The sequence below is a fragment of the Homo sapiens genome, chromosome 6 (assembly GCF_000001405.40).
Source record: "Homo sapiens chromosome 6, GRCh38.p14 Primary Assembly".
In the NCBI taxonomy this organism is placed as follows: domain Eukaryota; kingdom Metazoa; phylum Chordata; class Mammalia; order Primates; family Hominidae; genus Homo; species Homo sapiens.
Genome location: NC_000006.12, coordinates 49,980,525 through 50,003,791, shown reverse-complemented (window position 1 = coordinate 50,003,791; position 23,267 = coordinate 49,980,525). Strand labels below are relative to the sequence as shown.

At 34.6% G+C, this 23,267-nt stretch overlaps 1 annotated feature.

Annotated features, from left to right (window-relative positions):
• Positions 22,620-22,820: a silencer, noted in NCBI's record as "peak5843 fragment used in MPRA reporter construct". NCBI's record gives its function as "represses an SCP1 promoter by STARR-seq MPRAs in K562 erythroleukemia cells {active_cell/tissue: K562}" and the evidence as "EXISTENCE:reporter gene assay evidence [ECO:0000049][PMID:32103011]".

Here is a 23,267-nt window from a genome sequence, read left to right as displayed (position 1 = left end):
TTTCTGTAAATATTTGAGTTTATTTCTGATTCTCTATTCTGTTCCATTGGTCTATGTGCCTATTTCCAGTTTTTCATCTTGGGCAGCAAACCTGAAACAATTGCCCTTTAGAGAAAATGCTTGCTAACCCCTATATAGATAGAGTCAGTCACGTTTTCAAGAGCAAAATGTAATTCATGAAGCAGCAGTCTTAGCATTACCTGAGAACTTGTTAGAAATGCACATGGTAGGGCTCAGATTCACTGAATCAAAAACTCTGGAGATGAGTCCCAGCAATCTATGTTTAGCCTATTCTTCAATTTATGAAAATGCACAGAAGAGTTTGCTAACCATTGCCTAGAAATGCTTTTAACCTTTGAAATTTTTGATGTGAAATTATGGTTGTTTACTTTTTTACCGAACTTGGGCCAAACTATTAGCACCTCCCTGACATTACTGACAAAATATACTCGAGTAGTAGAAGAAAGATGCCAAGTCACATGACCCTTTCTTTGGAATGGATACATACAAAAGAAAAAAATGTTAAAATATACTTTTAGATAAAGCAATTCGTACTCTTCCTGCATATTATAGTTCATGGATTTGTGTTCTTTGGCCTAAATTAATAAAAACTCAATCATATGTGTCTTTTTTCTACTTATTCAGTGCTTATTTCTCATCTTCTAATATTCTGAAATATAAAAATTCAAGTTTAAAATTCAGAAATAAAAGTTAATTTTCCTCTTACATGTTTATAATTTGTGTATGGAAATTTCCACAAAAATAGTAACAGCATTTCTGTTCGCCCTCCCTCTCTCTGGAATTTTAACTCTTCAAAAGGATATGTTCTAATAACCACTTTTCTTAAAGCCTAACACATTCCTTGAACACAGGATATTGTAGTGTTGTATTGACAACACAGTCCTAATTTTCTTGCAGCTTCCAAGATTGGTATACTGCTCCACTGGAGGATACGACCAAGACTACCTAATGCTCCCTCAGGTTTCACTAAATTTTAGACAGGTTTCTTCCTGACTATAGAATCCCTTACCTCACTTTTCTTAATTGCATTTACTTTAGAAAACTTTCTATTGTAAATATTTTTCCTACCTTTGAAATACATGTAAAACTTCTCCCAGCCTCTTGCCAGTATTACAAGCAAAGAAATTTCTTTCTCAAAGACCTGGAGACCATTATTTTGACATGTACACATTGAAGGATATAGCACTACTATCTCCCAGTCTCTGTGGGAGGCTGTCTAACTTCAAAGGGCACTAACTTTAATAACCAATTAGATGGCCTAATCACAGAGAAAAGCATTTGAGAATTCAGAAATAACTCAATGTGTTCAATGTAGCCCATTGATTAATCTCTTCTCAATGTCTTCCACTACTTTTCCAGTAGCTGACCCTAGCCCTGAAAAACCTGCCTGCCTTTTATTTCAGGAAAGTTCAGTCTGTCTCCTCTATTGCAACAGTCATAAAGTCTTGCTTGACTGTTTGCTTTTGCCCAGTGAAATTTTCACTTTGATGAATAAAAGAACAAAAATTGGGATTGTGGGCTTGAAAGGTTTATATAGGAAATGTGATCCCCAGTGTGGTTCTGACATTAATCAGAACTAACAGTACTTTTGGAGAAATACACTTTATGGTAGAATGTTGTAAATACAGATGAGTTATACATATAAATGCTGTGAGGAGACAATGAAGATTATTATCACTTTTCTTAGAATGGTCAGGGAAGATTTCAGAGAAGAAATGGTATTTCCATTTATGTTTGGCTTATTAGATATCTCTAGAGCCTGGCCCAGCGTTTAACCAAGAGTAAATACTTGATACATTTTTATTTAATGAGTGAGTGGATAGATGGATGCATATATAAATAATAACGTATCAAAGACCAGTTTGAAGACTATTCATATTTAAGCTTATAATATAGAAAAAAGGAAAAATAGGTTTTCAAAGAGCTATATTTGAAATAATGTTAGAATTAAGAAAGGCATTTTTAGGAGGAATGGTCATATATAATGTTAAAATAGAGTATCTTGAAATAGACAGTGATTTGAATAAATTGTCCATTATTCAAGTTTTCCTGTGAGAAGATTCCATGTGGGATTGATTTCACTGCCTTCTGGAACTACGTTGTAGGATGAATAAAGAGATTTAATATTTAAAGTTTAAGCTGTGCTACAGTTTCCTCTTTTGTTCTATTTTCATATACTCCATCTCTTCAGTTATCATTAGAGGAAACCCAGTATATGCAAAAGAAATATGTTCATCTGTTATCTGTGCCAAGTGATAGACTGGAGTTTTATTTATTTATCTTTTATTTATTCACAACACATAATAATTGTACCTTATTATGGTGTACAATGTGATTTTTCAGTGCATGTGTGCATAGAATAATGTTCAAATTGGGGTAATTACTATATCCATCACTTTAAACATTTATCATTTCTTTGTTGTGACAACACTCACAATATTATTTTCTAGCTATCTTGATATATAACACTACATTGCTATTTGCTATAGTTGCCCTACTGAGTTATATAACACCAAAATTTATTCCTTCTGTATAACTTTGTAGTCATTGACCAACCTCTCTTGATTCCCCTCTTCCTTACTCTCCTTCCCAGTCTCTGGTAAACCACTATTCTACTCTCTACTTCTATGAAATTAACTTTTCTAGATTTCACATACGAGTGAAGTCATGTGGTGCTTGCCTTTCTGTGTCTGGCTTGTTTTATTTAACATAATGTCCCCCGATTTCATTCATGTTGCTGCAAATGAAATAATTTTATTCTGTTTTATGGATTAATATTGTTCCATTTTTGTATATATGCCACATTTTCTTTATTCATTCATCCATGATGGACACTAGGTTGATTCTATATCTTGGCTATATTAAATAGCATTGCAATAAACATGGGTGTGCAGATATCACTTCAACATATTGATTTTATTTCCTTTGGATATATGCCAAGTAATGAAAATGCTGAAATATATGGTGGATCTCGTTTTGTTTTTTGAGAAACTTCCATGCTGTTTTCCATAATGCCTGTGCTAATTTACGTTCCCACCAACAGCTCTCTTCATCCTTATGTATTCATTAAGAGACTATGCTGTTCTTTGTTGGAAATATTGACAAAGTGTTAAAAGGGAAAGGACTGAGTTACATGGGGATAAATTGGAAAATACAAATTTAGGTAAGGAGAGAAAATAAAGGAAACATTCACTAGTTTATCATCGTGGGTATAAAAAAATGTAGGTCTGTTTTTTTGTCAGCAGCCTGAAAATCTTTAATTCTTCCATATCCATCCTTTTTAATGTAAATATTTAAACATTATTAAAATGGAACAACTATAGCAAGAACCTCAGAATCCTTAGACGTGATATTTGAACCCAGAAAACATTATTATGCTTAGCTAATTTAATAGTATATAGGTGTGTAGTAGTATATGATTGTTGTTTTAATTTGGTAGCACCAAATGAATAATTATATTGAGCATTTTTATGTGTTTATTTGCTACCACATATCTTTTGTGAAGTGCCTATTTAAATTTCTTGCACATTATTATATTGGATTGTTATTTTTATTATCAAGTGTGTAAAATTTTATGTATTCTAAATAAATCTTTTATAAAGAATATAATTTGTAAATATTTTCCCTCATCTATGATCTACTTTTCATTCTCATAATAATTGATAGAGAACAAAAGTACTGCATTTTGAAGAGGTACAAATATTCTTTTATTTTTCTTTCATGAGTTCTGCTTTTAGTATTTAAATGTCTGCCTAATCCAAGATTATGAATTCCTTTTCTATGTTTTCTTCTAGACATTTTATATAATTGTAGGTTTTACTTAGAACTATTACAAGTTTTGAATCAGTTTTTGTGCATCATGTGAGAGCTAAAGTATATATGTGGATATCCAATGGTTTCACTACCATTTGTTGAATTCATTCTCCCTTGAATTGCCCTAGCACCTTTGCCAAAAGTAAATTGAGCATGTATATACAGACTTATTGGTCTATTTTTCTATGTTTGTGTCAATACACACTATCTTGATTATGAAAGGCTTATAATGAATCCTGAAGCAAATAGTGTAAATCTTTCAACTTTTTTCTTTTTCAAAGTTGCTTTAGCTATTCTTGGTCCTCTATATTTCCCTATAAATTTAATAATCATCTGGTCAATTTCTCCAAATATTTCGTAGGGATTTTTATTGGGATTTGCATTGATTCTATAGATCAATTTGTAGAAAATTGATATCTTAAAGAAGATCAGACTTTCAATCCATGAACCTGGTGTAACTTCCTATTTATTTAGGTCTTTTAAAATTTCTCTCAGCAATGTTCTGTACTTCTGAGTGTACAAGTCATCATTTATTATATTTATCCCTATTTTATATTTTAGTGCTACTGTAATGTTGTTCTTTTAAAGATGTTTCTGATTGGTTCTAACATGTAGAAATACAATTTTTTTGCACACTAATCCTGTGTCCTACAACCTAACTAAATTCACTTATTTGTTCTAGTAACTTTCCCATAAATATCATAGGATTTCCTACATATTTGATGACTTAATGTGCAAATGAAAACAATATTACTTTTTCTGTTTCGATCTGGATATATTTTATGCATTTTTTTGTGTTTATTACCCTGAGTAAAATCCTTCAGTACCATGTTGAATAGGAGTGATGAAAGTGGACATCCTTACCTGGTTCCTCATCTTAGGAAGAATGCATTCAATTTTTTAGCCATTGAGTAGGATGTTTAACTGTTGTTTTATTATAAATGCTAATTATCAGGTTAAGGAAATGTTTTCTATTTTATATTTCCTGAGTGACTTTGTTAGGAACAGCTTTAGATTTTTTCAAAACTTTTTTTTTCCTGTATCTATCAAGATTATTTTATATATATATAAATATATTTTATTCAGTTAATGTGGTAAATTATATTGAATGATTTTCAAATAGTAGACAAATCTGTATTCCTGAAAAACTCCACTTGGTCATAATGTATTAATATTTTCATATTAAATGTTTGGTAGAACTTCTTATTGACACCACCTGGAGTTCTATTTAGGAGAAGGTTTTAAGTACAAATTTAATTTATTTAATAGACTTTGGGTTGCTGGAGTTTAACTGTTTTTTGTTTTTTGTTTTTTGTTTTTGAGTGAGTTTTGGTAGTTTATAGGTTTTCAAATAATAAGTCCATTTCTTTTAAATATTTAAATTTATTATAAAGATATTCATAATATTTCTCATTTTTTCACTATTTGTAGAATCTGTAATGATGAAAGTTCTCATATTTTTAATATAGAGAATTTGGAATATTTTTCTCTTTTGTGCCTGCATATTCTGGATAGAGGTTTATTGGATTTATTAATCTTCTTAATGACTCTGTTTTATTTATTTTTCTCTTTTTTGATTTTGTTTTATTTATTTCACCCATGTTATTTATAATTTCCTTTCTTTTGCTAAATTTGGTTTTTATTTGCTTTTCTTTCACTAATTTCTTGAAATGGAAGCTGACATTTATTTATGACTTTTTTTTCTAATCAAGGCATTTAATGGTATATAATTTTCTCTAAGTACTGTTTAGCTGCATTACACATTTTTATATGCTGTATTTCATTTTTATTCATTTTCAAATATTTTCTAATTTCCTTTTCATCTTTATTGACTCATGAGTTATTTATCAATGCACCATTTAGCTTTCAAGTATTTGAATTTTTCCACCCAGGTATGCACATTTTAAGTATTTCTTTTATTGATATTTACTGAATTCCATTATTATCAGAGAACATACTGACAGTTTTTCAAATTTGTTAAGACATATTTTATTGTCCAAAATATGGTTTATCTAGATAAATATTTTCTGTTCTGTTGCAAATGTATTCTGCTTTTATTGGTTGGAACGATTTAAAAATTCAACTTAGGTTAAGTTGTTGAGAGTTTTTAAGTTAAAACAGCTATGTGTTTCATTCATTATTGATAATGCTATATTGAAACCACTAATTATAACTGAAATTTTTTATTTCTCTCTTTAGTTCTATTATTATTTGCTTCACGTATTTTGAGTCTCTGTGATTAGATGCATAAGCGTCTTGGAATTTTTCTTTTTTTTTTTTTTTTTTGAGACAGGGTCTTGCGCTGTTTCCCAGGCTGGAGTGCAGTGGCGCGATCTCGGCTCACTGCAAGCTCCGCCTCCCGAGTTCAGGCCATTCTCCTGCCTCAGCCTCCAGAATAGCTGGGACTACAGGCGCCCGCCACCACGCCCAGCTAATTTTTTTGTACTTTTAGTAGAGACGGGGTTTCACCATGTTAGCCAGGATGGTCTCGATTTCCTGACCTCGTGATCCGCCTGCCTGGGCCTCCCAAAGTGTCTTGGATTTTTATTTCCTCTTAATGAATTGACTTCTTTGTCATTATGAAATGACATGTTTTATTTCCAGTGATATTCTTTGCTTGAAAATATACTTTGTCTCGCATTAACGTAGACATTCTAACTTTAAAACTATTTTTCTCTATTTATTTTCTTTTTTTAGAGACAGGGTCTTACTATATTGCCCAGGCTGGCCTCAAACTCCTGGCCTCAAATTATTGTCCTGCTTTCGCCTCCGAAGTAGCTGGGACTACAGAAGCATGCCATTATGTCCAGGCTTTTCTAACTTTCTTTTGATTACTGTTAGTATAGTATGACTTTTTCCATCCTTTTGCTTGTAATCAATTTTTATTTTGGTATCTAGTGTTTATTTCTTACAGGTAGCATGTAGTTGGGAGTTTAGACCATGAAAATTTAAAGCGATTTTTGACATTTTTTTAATATCTATTATTCTAGCAACTGGTTTGCTATTTGTGCCTCCTGTTATTTGTTTCTATTGATCTGTTTTACTACTTTTTAATTATTTGTACACTTTTAGGTGAAATAATTAATGCCTTATGAACGTTTATGGGGATAATACCTGAAAGAAATCAGCAGTTTACAAATGGATAAATCAATGGTTTTAAGAAGGGATAAGACAAAGTTAAGGATGAAATCTTCAGTGGGAGACCATTCACATTAATTTACAAGGAAAAAAATGTATTATGTCTGTGCCCTTATTGAAGAGGACCAATGATTAATAGCACAAACAGCAGTCAACACCATAAACATCTCAATTGTTTTAATGTACACAATTCTGACTAAAAAATTATTGTTGAGTGAACTTTCCTCTCAATTTGTGTCAAAGCTGTTGCATCCAGCTAGGAGAGGTGGCTCATGCCTGTCATCCCGGCACTTTGGGAGGCTGAGTGGGTGCATCACTTGAGGCCAGGAATTTGAGACCAGCCCGGCCAACATGGCGATACCCTGTCTCTACTGAAAATACAAAAATTAGCTGTGTGTGGTGGCTCGCAAATCTAATCTCAGCTACTTGGAAGGCTGAGGCACAAGAATTGCTTGAACCTGGGAGGCAGAGGTTGCAGTGAGTCAAAATTGCACCTCTGCACTCCAGCTTGGGTGACAGAGTGGGACTCTGTCTCAAAAAAAAAAAAAAAAAAGTTGCATCCAGAGCAACTGCAGTCAAGAACAGAATTTTCAATGGAAATTTTAAGCAAGTAGGATCAAGATTCCAGTGCATTTTTTGAACAAGTTATAACATGAGGTTATTTTTACCAGTTTTACCAGTACAATCAAAGCAATGGCTACCAAAAGGTGGAAATGGCCAAGTCAATGCAAAAGTGAACTGGTCAGGAACAAAGGTCATGGCAACAGTTCTTTGGGGTGCTCAAGGCATTTTGGTTATTGACTTTCTGGAGAGCCAATGACAATAACATGCTTATTATATCAGTGTTTTGAGAAACATAGCCAAAGAAAAATGCCTGGGAAAACTTCACCAGAGACTTCTTCTGCACTATGACAATGCTCCTGCTCATTCCTCTCATTAAGCAAGAGCAATTTAGAGAGAGTTTTAATGAGGAATTAGTAGGCATCCACCTATAATACTGATTTTCGTCCTTCTCCTTTTTTGGGGTTTGTTTCCAAATCGTAGAAAATCCTTAAAGGCACTCATTTATCTTCACTCAACAATATAAAAAGGACTGCATTGATACGGTTAAATTCCCAGAATTCTTAGTTCTTTAGGGATGGACTAAATGGCTGGTATCAGTGCTTACAAAAGTGGCTTACACTTGATGGAGATTTTGTTGATAAATAAAGTTTATATTTTGTATTTTTATCTTTTAATTTCATTGTTCCATACAGTTTTTGACTCCTAATATTACTTATTCATAGTTAAGAAATGGCATGACTTATTTTGCAACACATATCTGTTGACCTAGAGTACATGCCCTTTGTACAATGACTTGCTTTGTAATGGAAAACTTGTTCACTCTTTCAAAAAATAAGTTAAATAATGGATTACAAATTAAACATAAAATACCTTCATTCATTTTCCATTTCCATTTCCACTTTTGTAAGTTAATATATCTTCAATATTTTTCTTTTTTGAATCTGAGTTATCTAAAACAAAGTTTTGGCATATTGAGGAAAATTACACAATCCTTTTTGTCCTTTAAAGAACTTCACCACATAAAATAATTCTAAATTTTAAATAGACAAATTGAATTTATCTACATTTTGCATTGTAACCAAATGTATCACCTAGGCATTATTTTATTTGTAATGAAAATAAATACATTAGCTCAAATACCTAAAACAATAGATTTAGAGAATGTTAGAAACAAACCCTGGTAGCATTGTGTAGCCTTATTCTACAACTGAGGAACCTTAGTCTCAGAAATTGTAATGAAATTTTCAAATGTTAAAAAATTTCTGGGCCTTGGTTAGGACAGGAACACATTAACTTAGCGGTCTCCAAATTATTGTCCATTGACCAGCAACATCAGCATCCCCTGAGAACTTAAAAATGTATAGTCTCAGGCCTCACCCCAGATATATAGAATAAATTGAAACTGTGCAGGTAGGACACAGCACTCTGTGTTTTAACAAATCCTTCAAGTGATTCTGATGTATGCTGATGTATGGGAATGATTGCTGAAACTCAAATATGCTTTCCTTACATCATGTTGCCTCATGCAGCCAGAGAGCTGACAAGTAATGTGAAGGCCTTGGGCCTACAGTTAGCAATTTAAAAAAAGCAATAAGGAACATATGTCCCCTCATAGAAGTGCTTGGACAGCTTCTAAATAGTTTAAGAAGTTTAGTTCATAAAATCATGAAATGAGATTGAATGACATTTCCATCATTTTTCACCTCAATTTGCTAAAATTACTACATCCTATGGAAAAAAAAAAACGATTTACTCGTTTAGAGATTTTCAATTTTGAATGTTTCTTTTTTGATGAAAAATTCTCCAACACTGAGTAAAGGAGCTCAGTGCCAGTTTGCAGTGAGGGAATCACAGACATTTTATTTAACCTTAGATTTTGAAGTCTATGATTACTGTATTAAAGCTTCCTTCATGCCTGTAATTTAAGATACCCAAAACAAAGTGTTGAATCTTTGCAAGATATAAAAATAAATTTAAAAAGTCCCTAATTTTAAGCATCCCTTCCATTGTAAAATTTGCCTGAAGCCACTGACCTCAGTCATTCTCATGGTACTTTCATTTCTCAGATGTATTTATTATGCAACTATCCATTTAATTGAGAGAACAGAAAAATACAAAATGAAAATACAGTACAGAGATGGAACTCTGAAGCTAGAATTATTCTTTATATTTAAGAATATAAATATATTCTTTATATTTCCATTGCACTGCTAACAGTTAAGGACTTCTCCTTTGACTTAATCTACATTCTATTTCTCTCTGCCCACAAACAAATAATATGAAAATAAAGGAATTTATAGGAAATTATGTAACGTAATGCAATGAGAAAGCTGCATATTTTACATAAAAGTTAAACTTTCTCTTTTCCCATAAAGGGGAAGTTTCTTATGTATGGAAAGGTGAATGAGTATCATTTTTGCTTCTGTTCCCTTACATGAAAAATGAAGAGAAAGATTCCTTTTTACTAGAGCTGGATACAAATTTAATTGCCTGTTATATGTCTAAAAAGTTATCTAGTGCCATGTCCATGGTACACTTCTTCCTTTAGGAAATTTATCTTATTATTCTAGCTTCAGGATTTAATTAGGGGACAACATTATCTTAGAATTCTTGCTCTATGACAACAAAAATGTTAAAAGTTGAACCCTTGGCCAGGCGCGGTGGCTCATGCCTGTAATCCCAGCACTTTGGGAGGCCGAGGTGGTCGGATCACCTGAGGTCAGGAGTTCGAGACAAGCCTGGCCAACACGGTGAAACTCCGTCTCTACTAAAAATACAAAAATTAGCTGGGTAACATGGCGTGTGGCTGTAATCCCAGCTACACAGGAGACTGAGGTAGGAGAATCGCTTGAACCCAAGAAACAGGGGTTCATTTGTCTCAAGAAATTTTTCAATTTTCTCCTTAATTTTTTCATTGACTCACTGGTAATTCAGGAGTATATCATTAATTTCCATGTATTTTTATAGCTTGTAAAATTCCTGTTATTAATTTCTTGTTTTATTCCACTGTGGTCAGAGAAAATGCTTGACAGTATTTTGATTTTTTTAAGACTTGTTTTGTGACCTAATATATGGCCTATCCTTGAGAATGATCCATGTGCTTATGTAAAGAATGTGTATTCTGCCTCCACTGGATAAAATGTTCTGTAAATATCTATTAGAACCATTTGGTCTATAGTGCAGATTGAGTCTGATGTTTCTTTTTGATTTTCTGTCTGGGAAGATCTGTCCAATGCTGGAAGTGAGGTGTTGAAGTCTCCAGCTATTATTGTATTGGGACCTGACTCTCTCTCTTTAGCTCTAATAATATTTTCTTTATATATCTACGTGCTCCAGTTTGGGGTGCATAGATATTTAAAATTGTTATGCCCCCTTGCTGAATTGACACCATTATTATTGTATAGTGACATTACTCGTCTCTTCTTACTGTTTTTTTCTTGAAATCTATTTTGTCTCATATAAGTATAGCTACTCCCATTCTTGTTTTGGTTTCCATTGTCATGGAATATATTTTTTCATTCCTTTATTTTTAATCTAAATGTGTATTTATAGCTGACATGTGTTTCTTGCAGGCAGGAGATCAATGGGTCGTGTACTTTCTTCCATTCTATCCAGTCTATGTCTTTGGATTAGAAAGTTTAGTTCACTTATGTTCAATATTATTATTGACAAGTAAGGACTTAACTCCTGTAATATTGTTTTCTGATAGTTTTGTGGTCTTCTTGTCCTTTTCTTTCCTTCCTATCTTCCTTCAGAGAAGGTGATTTTCTATGGTGATATGATTAATTTCCTGCTTTTTATTTTTTTGTGTCTCCGTTGTATACTTTTTGGCTTCAGATTAGCATGAGGCTTGCAAATATTATAACCCATTATTTTAACCTGATAACCACTTAATAGTGTTTGCATAAATAGACATGCCAAAACCCAAATACTAATAAAAACTCCATGCCTTAACTCTGTCCCCTGCTTTTTAACTGTTTGCTGTTTCTATTTGTGTGTTATTGTACTGTCTGTGTCTTAAAAAGTACAGTTGGAGTTATTATTTTTGATTGGTTCATCATTTAGTCTTTCTACTTAGGTTGAGGAACTTAAACACAACAGTTACAGTGTTATGATATTCTGTGTTTTTCCATGTATTTACTGTTACCCATGAATTTTATACCTTCAGGTGATTACTTACTGCTCATTAATGTCTTTTTCTTTCTGATGAAGTGTTCTCTTTAGCATTTCCTGTAGGACAAGTCTGGTGTTTATGAAATCACAGTTTTTGTTTATCTAGGAAAGACTTTAATTCTCTTTCATGTTTGAAAGATATTTTTGCCAGATATACTATTCTAGAATAAACATTTTTTCCTTAAGCATTTTAAATATACCATGCCACTCTCTCTTGACCTGTAAGGTTTCCACTGCAAAGTCTGCTACCAGATGTATTGACACACTGTTGTATGTTATTTGTTTTCTCTTGCTGCCTTTAAAATTCTTTATCCTTGATCTTTGGGAGTTTAATTTTTAAGTGGTTTGAGGCAGTCCTCTTTTGGTTAAATCTGCTTATTGTTCTGTTACCTTCTTCTGCTTGGATATTGATAACTTTTTGTAGGTTTCAGAAGTTCTCTGTTATCCCTTTGAATAAACTTTCTACCGCTATCTATTTTGCTGCCTCCTTTTTAAGGCCAATAACTCTTAGATTTACCCTTTTGAATCTATCTTCTAGATAATGTAGGTGTGCTTCATTGTTTTTTATCTTTTTTTTTTGTCTCCTCTGACACTATATTTTCAAACAGCCTGTCTTCAAGCTCACTAATTCTTTCTTCTGCTTGATTAATTCTTTGTTAAAGGACTCTGTTGCATTCTTCAGTATGCCAATTGCATTTTTTCAGCTCCAGAATTGCTGCCTGATACTTTTTAATTATTTCAATCTCTTTGTTAAATTTATCTAATAGAATTCTGAATTCCTTCTCTGTGTTACCTTGAATTTATTTGTTTCCTCAACACAGCTATTTTGAATGCTCTATCTGAAAGGTCACATATCTCTGTTTCTCTAGAAATGGTCCCTGGTGCCTTATTCAGTTCAATTGGTGAGGTCATTTTTTCCTGGTGTTGATGGTAGTACATATTCTTCATCATCTGAGTATGGAAGACTTAGATATTTATTGTAGTCTTCACTGTCTGGTCTTATTTGTACCCATCCTTCTTGGAAAGGCTTTCCAGATATTTGAAAGGACTTGGGTGTTGTGATCTAAGATATATCTCCTTTAGGGGTCACCCCAAGCCCAGTAATGCTGTGGTTTTTGTAGACTCATAGAGATACCGCCTTGATGGTCTTGGACAAGATCCTTGAGAATTCTCTGGATTATCCAGCAGAGACTCTTATTCTCTTCTCTCACTGTCTCCCCACAAAACAGTCTTGGCCAGGTGTGGTGGCTCATGCTTGTAATCCTAGCAATTTGGGAGGCCGAGGCAGATGGATCACCTGAGGTCAGGAGTTCTAGACCAGCCTGCCCAACATGGTGAAGCCCCGTCTCTACTAAAAATACAAAAATTAGCTGGGCATAGTGGTGGGCACCTGTAATCCCAGCTACTCAGGAGGCTGAATCACAAGAATTGCTTGATCTTGGGGGGCAGAGGTTGCAGTGAGCTGAGATCGTGCCATTGCACTACAGCCTGGGCGACACAGTGAGACTCCATCTCAAAAACAAACAAACAAACAAAAACAAAAAAAAACCAGAGTCTCTCCATCTGTTCTAAGCTACCTAAAGCTGTGAATGGAGTGACTCAAGGACCTCTGTGCCCACCACCCACCACTATGACTGTGCTGGTTCAGACCTAAAGTAGGTACAACGCTAGGTGTAGCCCAAGGCCTGCCATAAGCAGTCCCTGGCTACTGCTTATGTTTGCTCAAGGCCCTATGGTTCTAAAATCAGCCAGTGGTGAAGCCACCCAGGCCTATGTCCTTCCCTTCAGGGTGTCAAGTTTCCCCAGGCCCTAACGTGTCCAAAGGCGTCATCCAGGAGTGAAGGACTAGAGTTTAAAACCTTAGAATTTGATGTGGTGTTCTATTGTACTGCAGCTTAGCCGACACTCAAACCACAATATACAGTTTTTCTCAGTCTTCCCTCCCCTTTCAAAGACAAAGGAGCCTCACTTCATAGCCATTGCCAACCCAGGCCATAAGGAGTACTGCCAGACAACACCTGAAGTTCCCTTAAGGCCCAAGGGCTCTTAAGTCAGCTCGTTGGGAATGCTACCTGGCCTGGGACTTCAGGGCAATGGGTTCCCCTCTAGCCCAGGCCAGGATTAGAAATCCTATTCAAGAGTCAAGTCCTGGAATCAGGGACTCTAAGAGCCTGCTTACTGTTCTACCCCACTGTGGGCATGCTGGTACCCAAGGTGCAAGACAAAGTCTCCTTTACTTTTCCCTCTGCTTTTCTCAAGCAGAAGGAGTTTTGCCCCATAGTCACCACAGCTAGTAATATGCTGAGTCTCACCTGAAGCCAGCAAGTGTCAGAGGCTCATCCAAGGCCCTTGATGTAGGACCTGGGTATCACTGCTGATTACTCAAGGCCCAAGGGCTCTTCAGTTAGCAGGCGATGAATGTTGTCATGACTGGGTCTTTTCCTTCAAGGCAGCAAATTCCCTTCTGGCCCAGGGTATGTCTAGAAATGTCTTTTGGGAACAAGAGCCTAGAATTGGGACTTTGTGACTCTGATTGGTGCCCTATCTTGCTCTGTCTGGGCTGGTATCCAAGATGCAAGAGAAAGTCCTCCCCTTTCTTTACTGTCCTATCCTGAAGCAGAAGGAAAGGGTCTCTTTTGGAGCCATGAGCTGTGTAGCCTGAGGTTAAGAAAGGGGTAATGCCAGCCCTTCCTTAGCTGCCCTAGCTGGTGTCTCAGTATGTTACACACCCCACCTTCATCCCCTAGTCCACTGTCTCAGGTTCTAGTTCAGCACTAGGACTCACCCAAGAGTTGCAGTCTATGTAGTCTACACTGCCTTTCCATTTCATTTGGAGACACATAGCACTGTAGCTCTTGGTGTTGAGGTTTCTGGGAACTCAAGTTCTGACTGCTGGGATCAGCAATTCCTCCCTGGCTATGGCTGGTTGAAATGCTCCCTCCGTGGGTGGTCATCAGCTGAGTTTGGGCCGGTTTTCCTATGTGCTCTAGCAAGATAGCACTGAGCTTAATGCCTCACAATTGCTGTGTTCTCCCTCCTGCAGTGCCCAGAGATGCTCTCCACACCATGATGCTGCTGCTAGGTGTGGGGAGGTGTGGTGATGGCAATTCAAGACTGTTTTTTTAATTTCTTTGGTGCCTCTTTAAGCAATATAAAGTTTAAACTAGGTACTATAAGTGCTCAGTTGATTTTTGGTTTTAATGGTGTTTTTTTCTGGTTAGATAGTTGTTAAATTGGTGTCCTTGCTGGGGGAACAATGGATGGAACCCTTTATTCTGCCATCTTGCTTCACCTCTCTATTGTTAATAATTTAATAATGGTAAATTGGAATTTTTTTTAACTTCTCTGGACTTTATAGTTTTCTCATTTTTAAAATAAAAAGCTGAAATAAAACACTATTGCAACTGTAAATTATTTCAAGGAATATTTATTTGCTATTTCATTTTTTAAATATATATGTTATTTTCAGAGCAGTTTTATGTTCACAGCAAACTTGATTGGAAAATACAGTGTTCCCATATACACCTTTCCCCCATGTAGGCATACGCTCCCTACTATCACAATCTCCTGACAGAGAGGTATATTTGTTGCAATTGATGAACCTATACTGGCACATCATTCTCAACCAAAGTTTATAGTTTATATTAGAGTGCAGTTTTGGTGTTGTGCATTCTTTGGATTTGGACAAATGTATAATGACACGTATCCACCATTAAAGTATCACACAGAATGCTTTCACAGCCCTAAAGTCTCTTGTGCTTAGCCTTTATCCCTGTCTCCCCTAAACCGTTAGCAATCACTGATCATTTCACTGTATCTCTAGTTTCACCTTTCCAGAATTGCAATTCCATTTTTAAAATCCCTTCTAAGGAAAAACTCTACAAACTTACTTCTATGTTATCTAGCTTAGGGATTTGAAACTGTTAAAAGAAGAATAATAGAGAAATTAAATTTAGCAGAGTTCATTTGAGCACAAAAGAATTCATGAATCAGGTAGCACCCTGAACACGTAGAGGTGCAGAAAGCTCTACGCAGCAGTGTGAGCAGCAAGTTTGCATAGATTGAAACCAAAGCAAAGTAGAGAAATCACCTGATTGGCTACAACAAATAAGGCATCTGCCTTATTTGGGCATGGTGTGATGAGTTAGATGCCTGTGATTGACTGCAGCCTGGCTGATTGTGATTGGCTATAACTTGACTGTTTTTTATAATCCTAATGTTACTTTTGATTTGTTTATATACTAAGGTAGGTTTCAGTTCACTATGTAGGGACTTAAGGTACAGAGGCAGGCTCCAGGTAAGTTTAAATGACAATTCTTCCCTTTTGATCAGCCTCTCAATTTTAGGAGAATAACCAAAAATTTGGGCATTGGCATCACTCTCTGTCACCATCAGAATGGACTTGTTTGTTCTCAGTATGAAATTCACAATTAATGACATTGGGGTAGTTGAATGATTCTTTATGTTCTCCTTATGTTTTTCTTATTTTAAATGCAGTGAGACCATTTGACACACAACAGATGGCTGCATATTAGCACTTATGACTTGTGAGAGAATATGGCCTGTCAGGGAGACTATTGTGATGGCTATCAGGAAGATAATACCAAGAGGTTAAAGTGTACTTCTTCATAGGAGCTCTCATGAACCAAATCAATTAAAATATGTCAAAAAAATGAGTGAGAAGAGGAGTCTATTTGTTTTAAGCAAGTATCTTGTTTGTTCCTTTCTTACAATTGAGTTTCGATCACATCAAACATATTATCCAACTACAGCAAGAAATGTTAACTATCAACATATTTTCTAATGACCTTTTATTTACTGTTATAGCATCAGTCTTTCTGTATGGGAAAGCTTCTACATAACCAGAAAACCAGCACTGAAAGTGGAAATAGAATGAAATACATCTGTAAGTGTCCAAATAATCCACGATGCACCAGAAACATACCACTTGAGGTTTTTATTGTCTTACTAGGATTATGAGTTTGACAAACCAAACATTGGTTATAAATTATTTTATCCATTTTAAACAGTAACTTTACCAATTTTTTTAATAATTTGAGTCATTTTATCTCTTCCATAATGAGTCAGAGTCTGTAAAAATTTTAATGATATTAAAGAACTTGGGAAGGACCAGGCAGCCATCCAGATTCTCCATGAGTCCATGCTTAACATTGAATTTACATTCTTTGAAATGACAGGTTTGTTCTCCAATTCAGGTGCAAAACACTGTTTATTGACTAGGTTATCATAAGTAAATTAACTTGGGTTAATCTTACAGAGTTTATTTAACTTGCATATCTTAACAGTTTCAATTCCAGCTTACTTGGCATAAAACCATGGCAAAGCATGTTCTTGGTATTTAATGAATTCTTGTTTTGCTTGATGTTGACAGTTTTATAAACGAATTCATTTTTTCATTAAAGTTCTGGAAATTCTTACCTTGACCAATTATCAGTAAGTAAGGTAACAAGTAAGTACACTTGTTAGAGACTTTTATAGAGTCTTCTCAGAGATGAAACACTTTTAGGTTTATAGTTACTTGCAAAAACTTTCAGGAAAGTACCAGAATAAAGTAATTAGCTCTCTGTGAATGACAATATTTAAAATTTCCATGGTTAAAGATCTGATGAGAGTTTACTAAAACACAATGGGCAAGGAAATTCAATTGTTTCTGTAACATACAATATTCTAAGATAATAATTATGATTGTCACTGGTAGCATTATACCAAAACTTTCAGATTTCTAATTTCATCCAATTTATGAAGCACATATTAATAACATATCTATACAATAACTCAATACAGGTTCAGTATCAATTATTATTTCACAATGCTTTCCATGCAATTTAACGTGCTAAATAAGCCTACTTTGTCAACTCTCTGAAAGAGAGAAGAAACTTTTGTGGTATTCCAGTGGCCCACTGGAACCTCCCAAAGTTAGTTCAAAGTCAAAGATGTTAATTGAGTATTTGATTTTGGAAAGTCAAAAATGTCAAAAGATTTAAAGGACTTGATTAAAATAGAATCACAGTTTACTCTGAAAAATAATCATTCAGTTAACAAGAGTAAGAGTTAAAGACTTCAAAGGCAAATATGAAAATTTACATGGTTGTAGAAAAATCTTGATCTTTTAATAGACAAGGCTCAGTTTTCTTAAGTAATCAGAAGCCTGAAAAAGATAACATGAAGCTGCAGCCGTAAAAAAGAATGAGTTAATGTCCTTTGCAGGGACATGGATGAAGCTGGAAACCATCATTCTCAGCAAACTGACACAGGAACAGAAAACCAAACACTGTATGTTCTCATTCATAAGTGGGAGTTGAACAATGAGAACACATGGACACAGGTAGGGGAACTTTGCACACCGGGGTCTTCTGGGGCGTAGGGGGCAAGGGGAGGGATAGCATCAGGACAAACACCTCATGCATGCAGGGCTTAAAACCTAGATGTTGGGTTGATAGGTGCAGCAAACCACTATGGCACATGTATACCTATGTAACAAACCTGCACATTCTGCACATATATCCCGGAACTTAAAGTAAAAGAAAAAGAAAAAGAAAAAAAGATAACATGAAGTATAGCAGATCATCTTGATAAATATTGAATTTTTCTAGGCCAATTACCTAAAAAAGTAATAATATAACCTTTTACAATTTTATATTTAAAGCAGACTAATATTCCAATAAAATTGTGTTTTTTCACAGAGAGAATCAAATTCTATTTTTATATTAGTGTAGTTTTGATATTAATGCTCAATTTTAGAAAAGACTTATGAATAGTTCTCTTCTAATCTTAGCTTGTTCACATATAAAATTTATTTTCCAAAATTCATGTTCTACAAATTTTCTACAACTTGCTTATGTCTATTCAGTTTAGTCTTATACTTTTTCTTTTTCATTGGAACAACCAGTTGTACTTCACGATAAAAATTACTTTTTTTTCCTTAACACAACCAAACACTTTCCCATACCTTATAGCTTTGCTTGCCAAAAGCACATCTTGCTTTTCTCATATACTTGCATATAAAGTTGTTTCCCTTTTCATTTCTAACAACATTATTTACATATATTCATTAGAATTCTTAGTCTTTAATGACCTTAATTTCTAGCAAACACTAGGAAGCAAGCAATTGTAAACTATATGTCACACTAGCATCTACAGAGTAGACTTTCAAATCTATGAATTATAATTTCTAGGAGCATGTGCTTTTTCATAATATAATTTTTCAGTGTGGCACAAACTATGTTTACTAATAGTCCCACCTATCTTTAATTTATCTGTAATAAGAAACTGTATAGGAGGAAAAATTTTATCTCTATCCTCGTAGTTTTTTTGGCAAGAAGTGAGAATTAAATTTTTATTTACTCAGACTTATTATGCAGAACTTTCCATTCTTCATAATAAGAATATTAAAACCTTCTGGTATAAGAAGGACGTCTTTCAAATAGGAATTTTATCTTACATGCATCTATTTAGTTCACTTGTTTTTAAGAATTATACTTGGAATCCTCGAGATGGTGAAATATTAAACAGCTAGCTTTCCATCAGTTGGAGTTATTTTTTCTTACTGACAAATTTTAAAATGTAAAGGTAATATAAAATTATTTTACTAATAAACCTAGAAAATTGTACATGTGTATTATATTTAATGCCAACAACTCTGAAGGCATTCCTGTTTTAATCAAGCTAGCACACTTTTACTAGCTTATATTTACTGAAATTTATGCCAGATAACATGAACCTGAAAAACATTATAGGTTACTTTCTATCTTTCTAAGTGTGTAAAAAATATTTTACATAAGTGTTTCTTTTTCTTTAAGCCTATTAAATAAAAAATTTTACAATTTAATTTTGGCAATACCATGAGTAGTATAGGGAAATATCACATACACATAACATAATACAGACATATGTAAACATACAAACTCAAACAGATCTTATAGATTTTATTTAAATATTTTAGCCATGTGACAGGCATAATGACACAAAGCTCACTAATGCATTAAAGAATATCTAGAGCTAATTTTTTTTTTCTGGCCATGCCAATGAAGCAAGATTACTTACCTTGATGGTTAAAGCTTTTGACTACTGTTTGTGGAAAATATTTTTAAGATTTCAAAAATATATATTCTTGGGCGGGCACAGTGGCTCATGCCTGTAATCCCAGCACTTTGGGAGGCCAAGGTGGGTGGATCACAAGGTTAGGAGTTTGGGACCAGCCTGGCCAATATGGTGAAACCCTGTCTGTACTAAAAATACAAAAATTAGCGGAGCCTGGTGGCGGGGGTTTGTAGTCCCAGCTACTCGGGGGGCTGAGGCAGAAAAATCACTTGAACCCGGGAGGCACAGGTTGCAGTGAGCCGAGATCATGCCACTGCACTCCATCCCAGGTGACAGAGTAAGACTCCATCTCAAAAAAAAAAAAAAAAAAAAAAAAAAAACCTATATGCTTAAGGGTCAATCTTTGATTTTTTAAATATTTTAGATGTCTTTGAACATCAATTAGAGAATGTATCTCATTGCTTTTTTGACATTTTAGATTCTTTCTTTTCTAATGTGACTTACGAATGAATAATTTTTTTTAAGTTCCACACTCTGGACACTGTAATCCCAAGTTGCCCTTAGTAAGGTGTTAATCCATTTTTACAAAACCACACAGGTTCTGGGATCATAAATTTTTGTATCTCAAATTAGCTGTTACCCTAGAAAATAAAGTCACAGGCTCCTGGTATCCTAAACTTAGATTTAAAGAAACTTATTTTCAGTTACCTATCTGAGGTTTCTAACTGGATCCATTTCAGCTAGTTATCAGGTCCAATCCAATATTGGACCCAGTTCATTAAAATGATTGCTGAAATAAACTTCAATAATTCAAAACACAAATTTGTAGAGTTCAAATCTTACAGGGAACTCACTGACAACCTCTAGTTGCTCCAAGAGAACAATAGGCACAGTCGATCCTGGGAATCACCTTTGCTTGGTCACTCAGTGCTCCTGGGGTCACCAGAGGTCTTCTTTGAATCCCTCTTTTGATACTAAACCATTAAAAAGAAAAACTTCAGTCAAATTAAATATAGTAGAATTTATTTAAGGAAATAATAATTCATGAATTGGGCAGCACCCTGAACCACTGGAGTTGTAGAGAGCTCCACCCCAACAGCATGAGTATTGAGTTTCAGAGGCCAGACGAAAATAATCAAAGTACAGAAATTACCTATTTGGGCATAGTGTGATAAGGCATCTGCCTTATTTGGGCATAATGTGATGACTTGGCTGCCTATAACTGGCTGAAACTTGTCTGGTTGTGATTGGCTGAAAAATCAGCTATTTGTTATACTCAAGGTTGCTTTTGGTTGGTTTACGTACAAAGTTATGTTGCAGTTCACTATATGGGGACTCAACATATGGAGCAGCCTTAGGTCAAATTGAACTAATTTCACACGCTCACCATAAGAAGAGCAACAAGGTAAAGAAGAGAGTAAATTAGGTGCTCTAAATGTTGCAATACCAGCATCACCACAATCCCCCCACACAAATTATTGCAGACAAAATACTAACATTCCTATTGTCATAATAAGGGTTTAGGATGATAGAAAGCAGACACTTCTACCCTTTCTCTCATAAGACAGAGAGACAGACAGACAGACAGACACACACACACACACACACACACACAAACCCCTATAAATATACAAGACTCCCTAGGTTCAGGTCATAATTTGGCAAGTGTAAATTTTTGAACCTCTCTCTATTTTTATCTTCACTTTTCCCCTTTCCTTGCTCTGAGAGGCTGCACAGTAATAAGAGTGCTTCACTGCCACAAAGACAATATGCAGGCCCACACTAAATACTTTCGTAATGCTTTTCCTTTGGTTGCTAAGCTAGAGCTATTGTCACGAAAGCCTGCACATTTATCCCATGACATTCTTAAAATGCAATTATTATCTTATGTAATTCCAATTCAATTTCTACTTTGCCAAAAAGTCTATTTTCTCAGTATCATAACATGTATCAGATTTAGGAAACTCATTGGCAATATGAGCCTAAATTATTTAATTCAGGATGCCAATTTCATAACTATAGTAAGAAATATTCTTGGACATATTAATCATTTGTGTTGGCTTAAAATATATATCTTTTCCTTGTAGGTGAATTACATGGGAAGCCAAGTTATAAAAAGTTTTCTCAGTGAGAATAGAGTAAGAAGAGCTGAAGTTAGAAGAGAAGGGGATTAAATGCTAAATAAAATGAAAATGATGTCCTGATGCTTTCATATCCAAAATAAATTTACTGCTACCAGGTAGGTCTAGCATTTACATAAACATGCATACATTTCTACTTAGGAAATGGTTTTCCCCCTTAAATTATCTGCCAGGCATGATTAGTCTTTGTCTCATATGGCTTTTCTTCTTCTACTATTTCACCTGTAAGTGTTCACTTTTTTATTAACATTGTCTTGCTTTAGCTGTATTGCTACAGAATAGCAATACAGTAGGCAGTGTTTGGAATATGGGCATTGATGTCACACTGCGTGGAGTCTGATGACCCTTGGGCTAGTTGGGACCTATTCTTATGAGTTGTGTAACCTTGAGCAAGTTACTTAACTTGTCTATGTTTTGGTTTCCTATACATAAAATGGAAGTAGTAACAGCTAATTTCCAAATTTATAATACATGCCTGGCACAATTACTTAATATATGTAAATGGCAATATTTATTTTCATTCTGATTTTATTCACCTATTTGTCACCAGAAATAATTTTTATTTACTTAATGCACTTGTGTACATCTTACTTGATTAAAGATGTGTGATCTGTATACTTTACATTTCAAAGGAAAAGGGGATACTGTAATCAGTGTTGAACATAAGTTGAAAGTTGATGTCAAATCATGTTCAATGATGTGATGATGGGATGATGTGATGGTGCTACATGTGCACTAAGGATGTAAGGGAACTAGTTGTGAGACTGATGATAATGGAACAGATGAGTCAGCAGAAGAAGAGCAGACAGGAAAAGAAAGCAACTGAGATGATTCACATGTACATCATTCCAGCTCCCTCTTCCCCAAATCTGCCTGCTGAATTTGCATAATCTGCTTGCTAAATTTGCATCGGACTTGTTTTTAACCCTGAAATAAAATATTTTTTTTCCTGAGCTATATTGAGTTGTTTTCTCTTACTTGCAAATGATAATTTTGACCAGAACACAGAAATATTTCTGATGATTTATTTCTCAATGTGTGTGTGTGTGTGTGTGTGTGTGTGTGTGTGTGTGTGTGTGTGTGTGTTGGCAGATAGGCTACACATATCAGATGCTGTATTCAGTTGCCACCTACAATATGATCAATCAACAGAATGCATCATATGCTCAAGTGGTGAAATACATTAGTTCAAAGGGCAAAGCATATAATCTTTCAAATTTTATTTGCAAAGTATGGAAAGGATGACTCAGTTATCAAAAAAAGCAGACTCAGGAAAGAATACTGATTTTATTTCTTTGGCTTCCTGTTGATGTAGTAGGCAGAAAGGAAATTTAGATCTTCTTTCTTTTCTCTTTT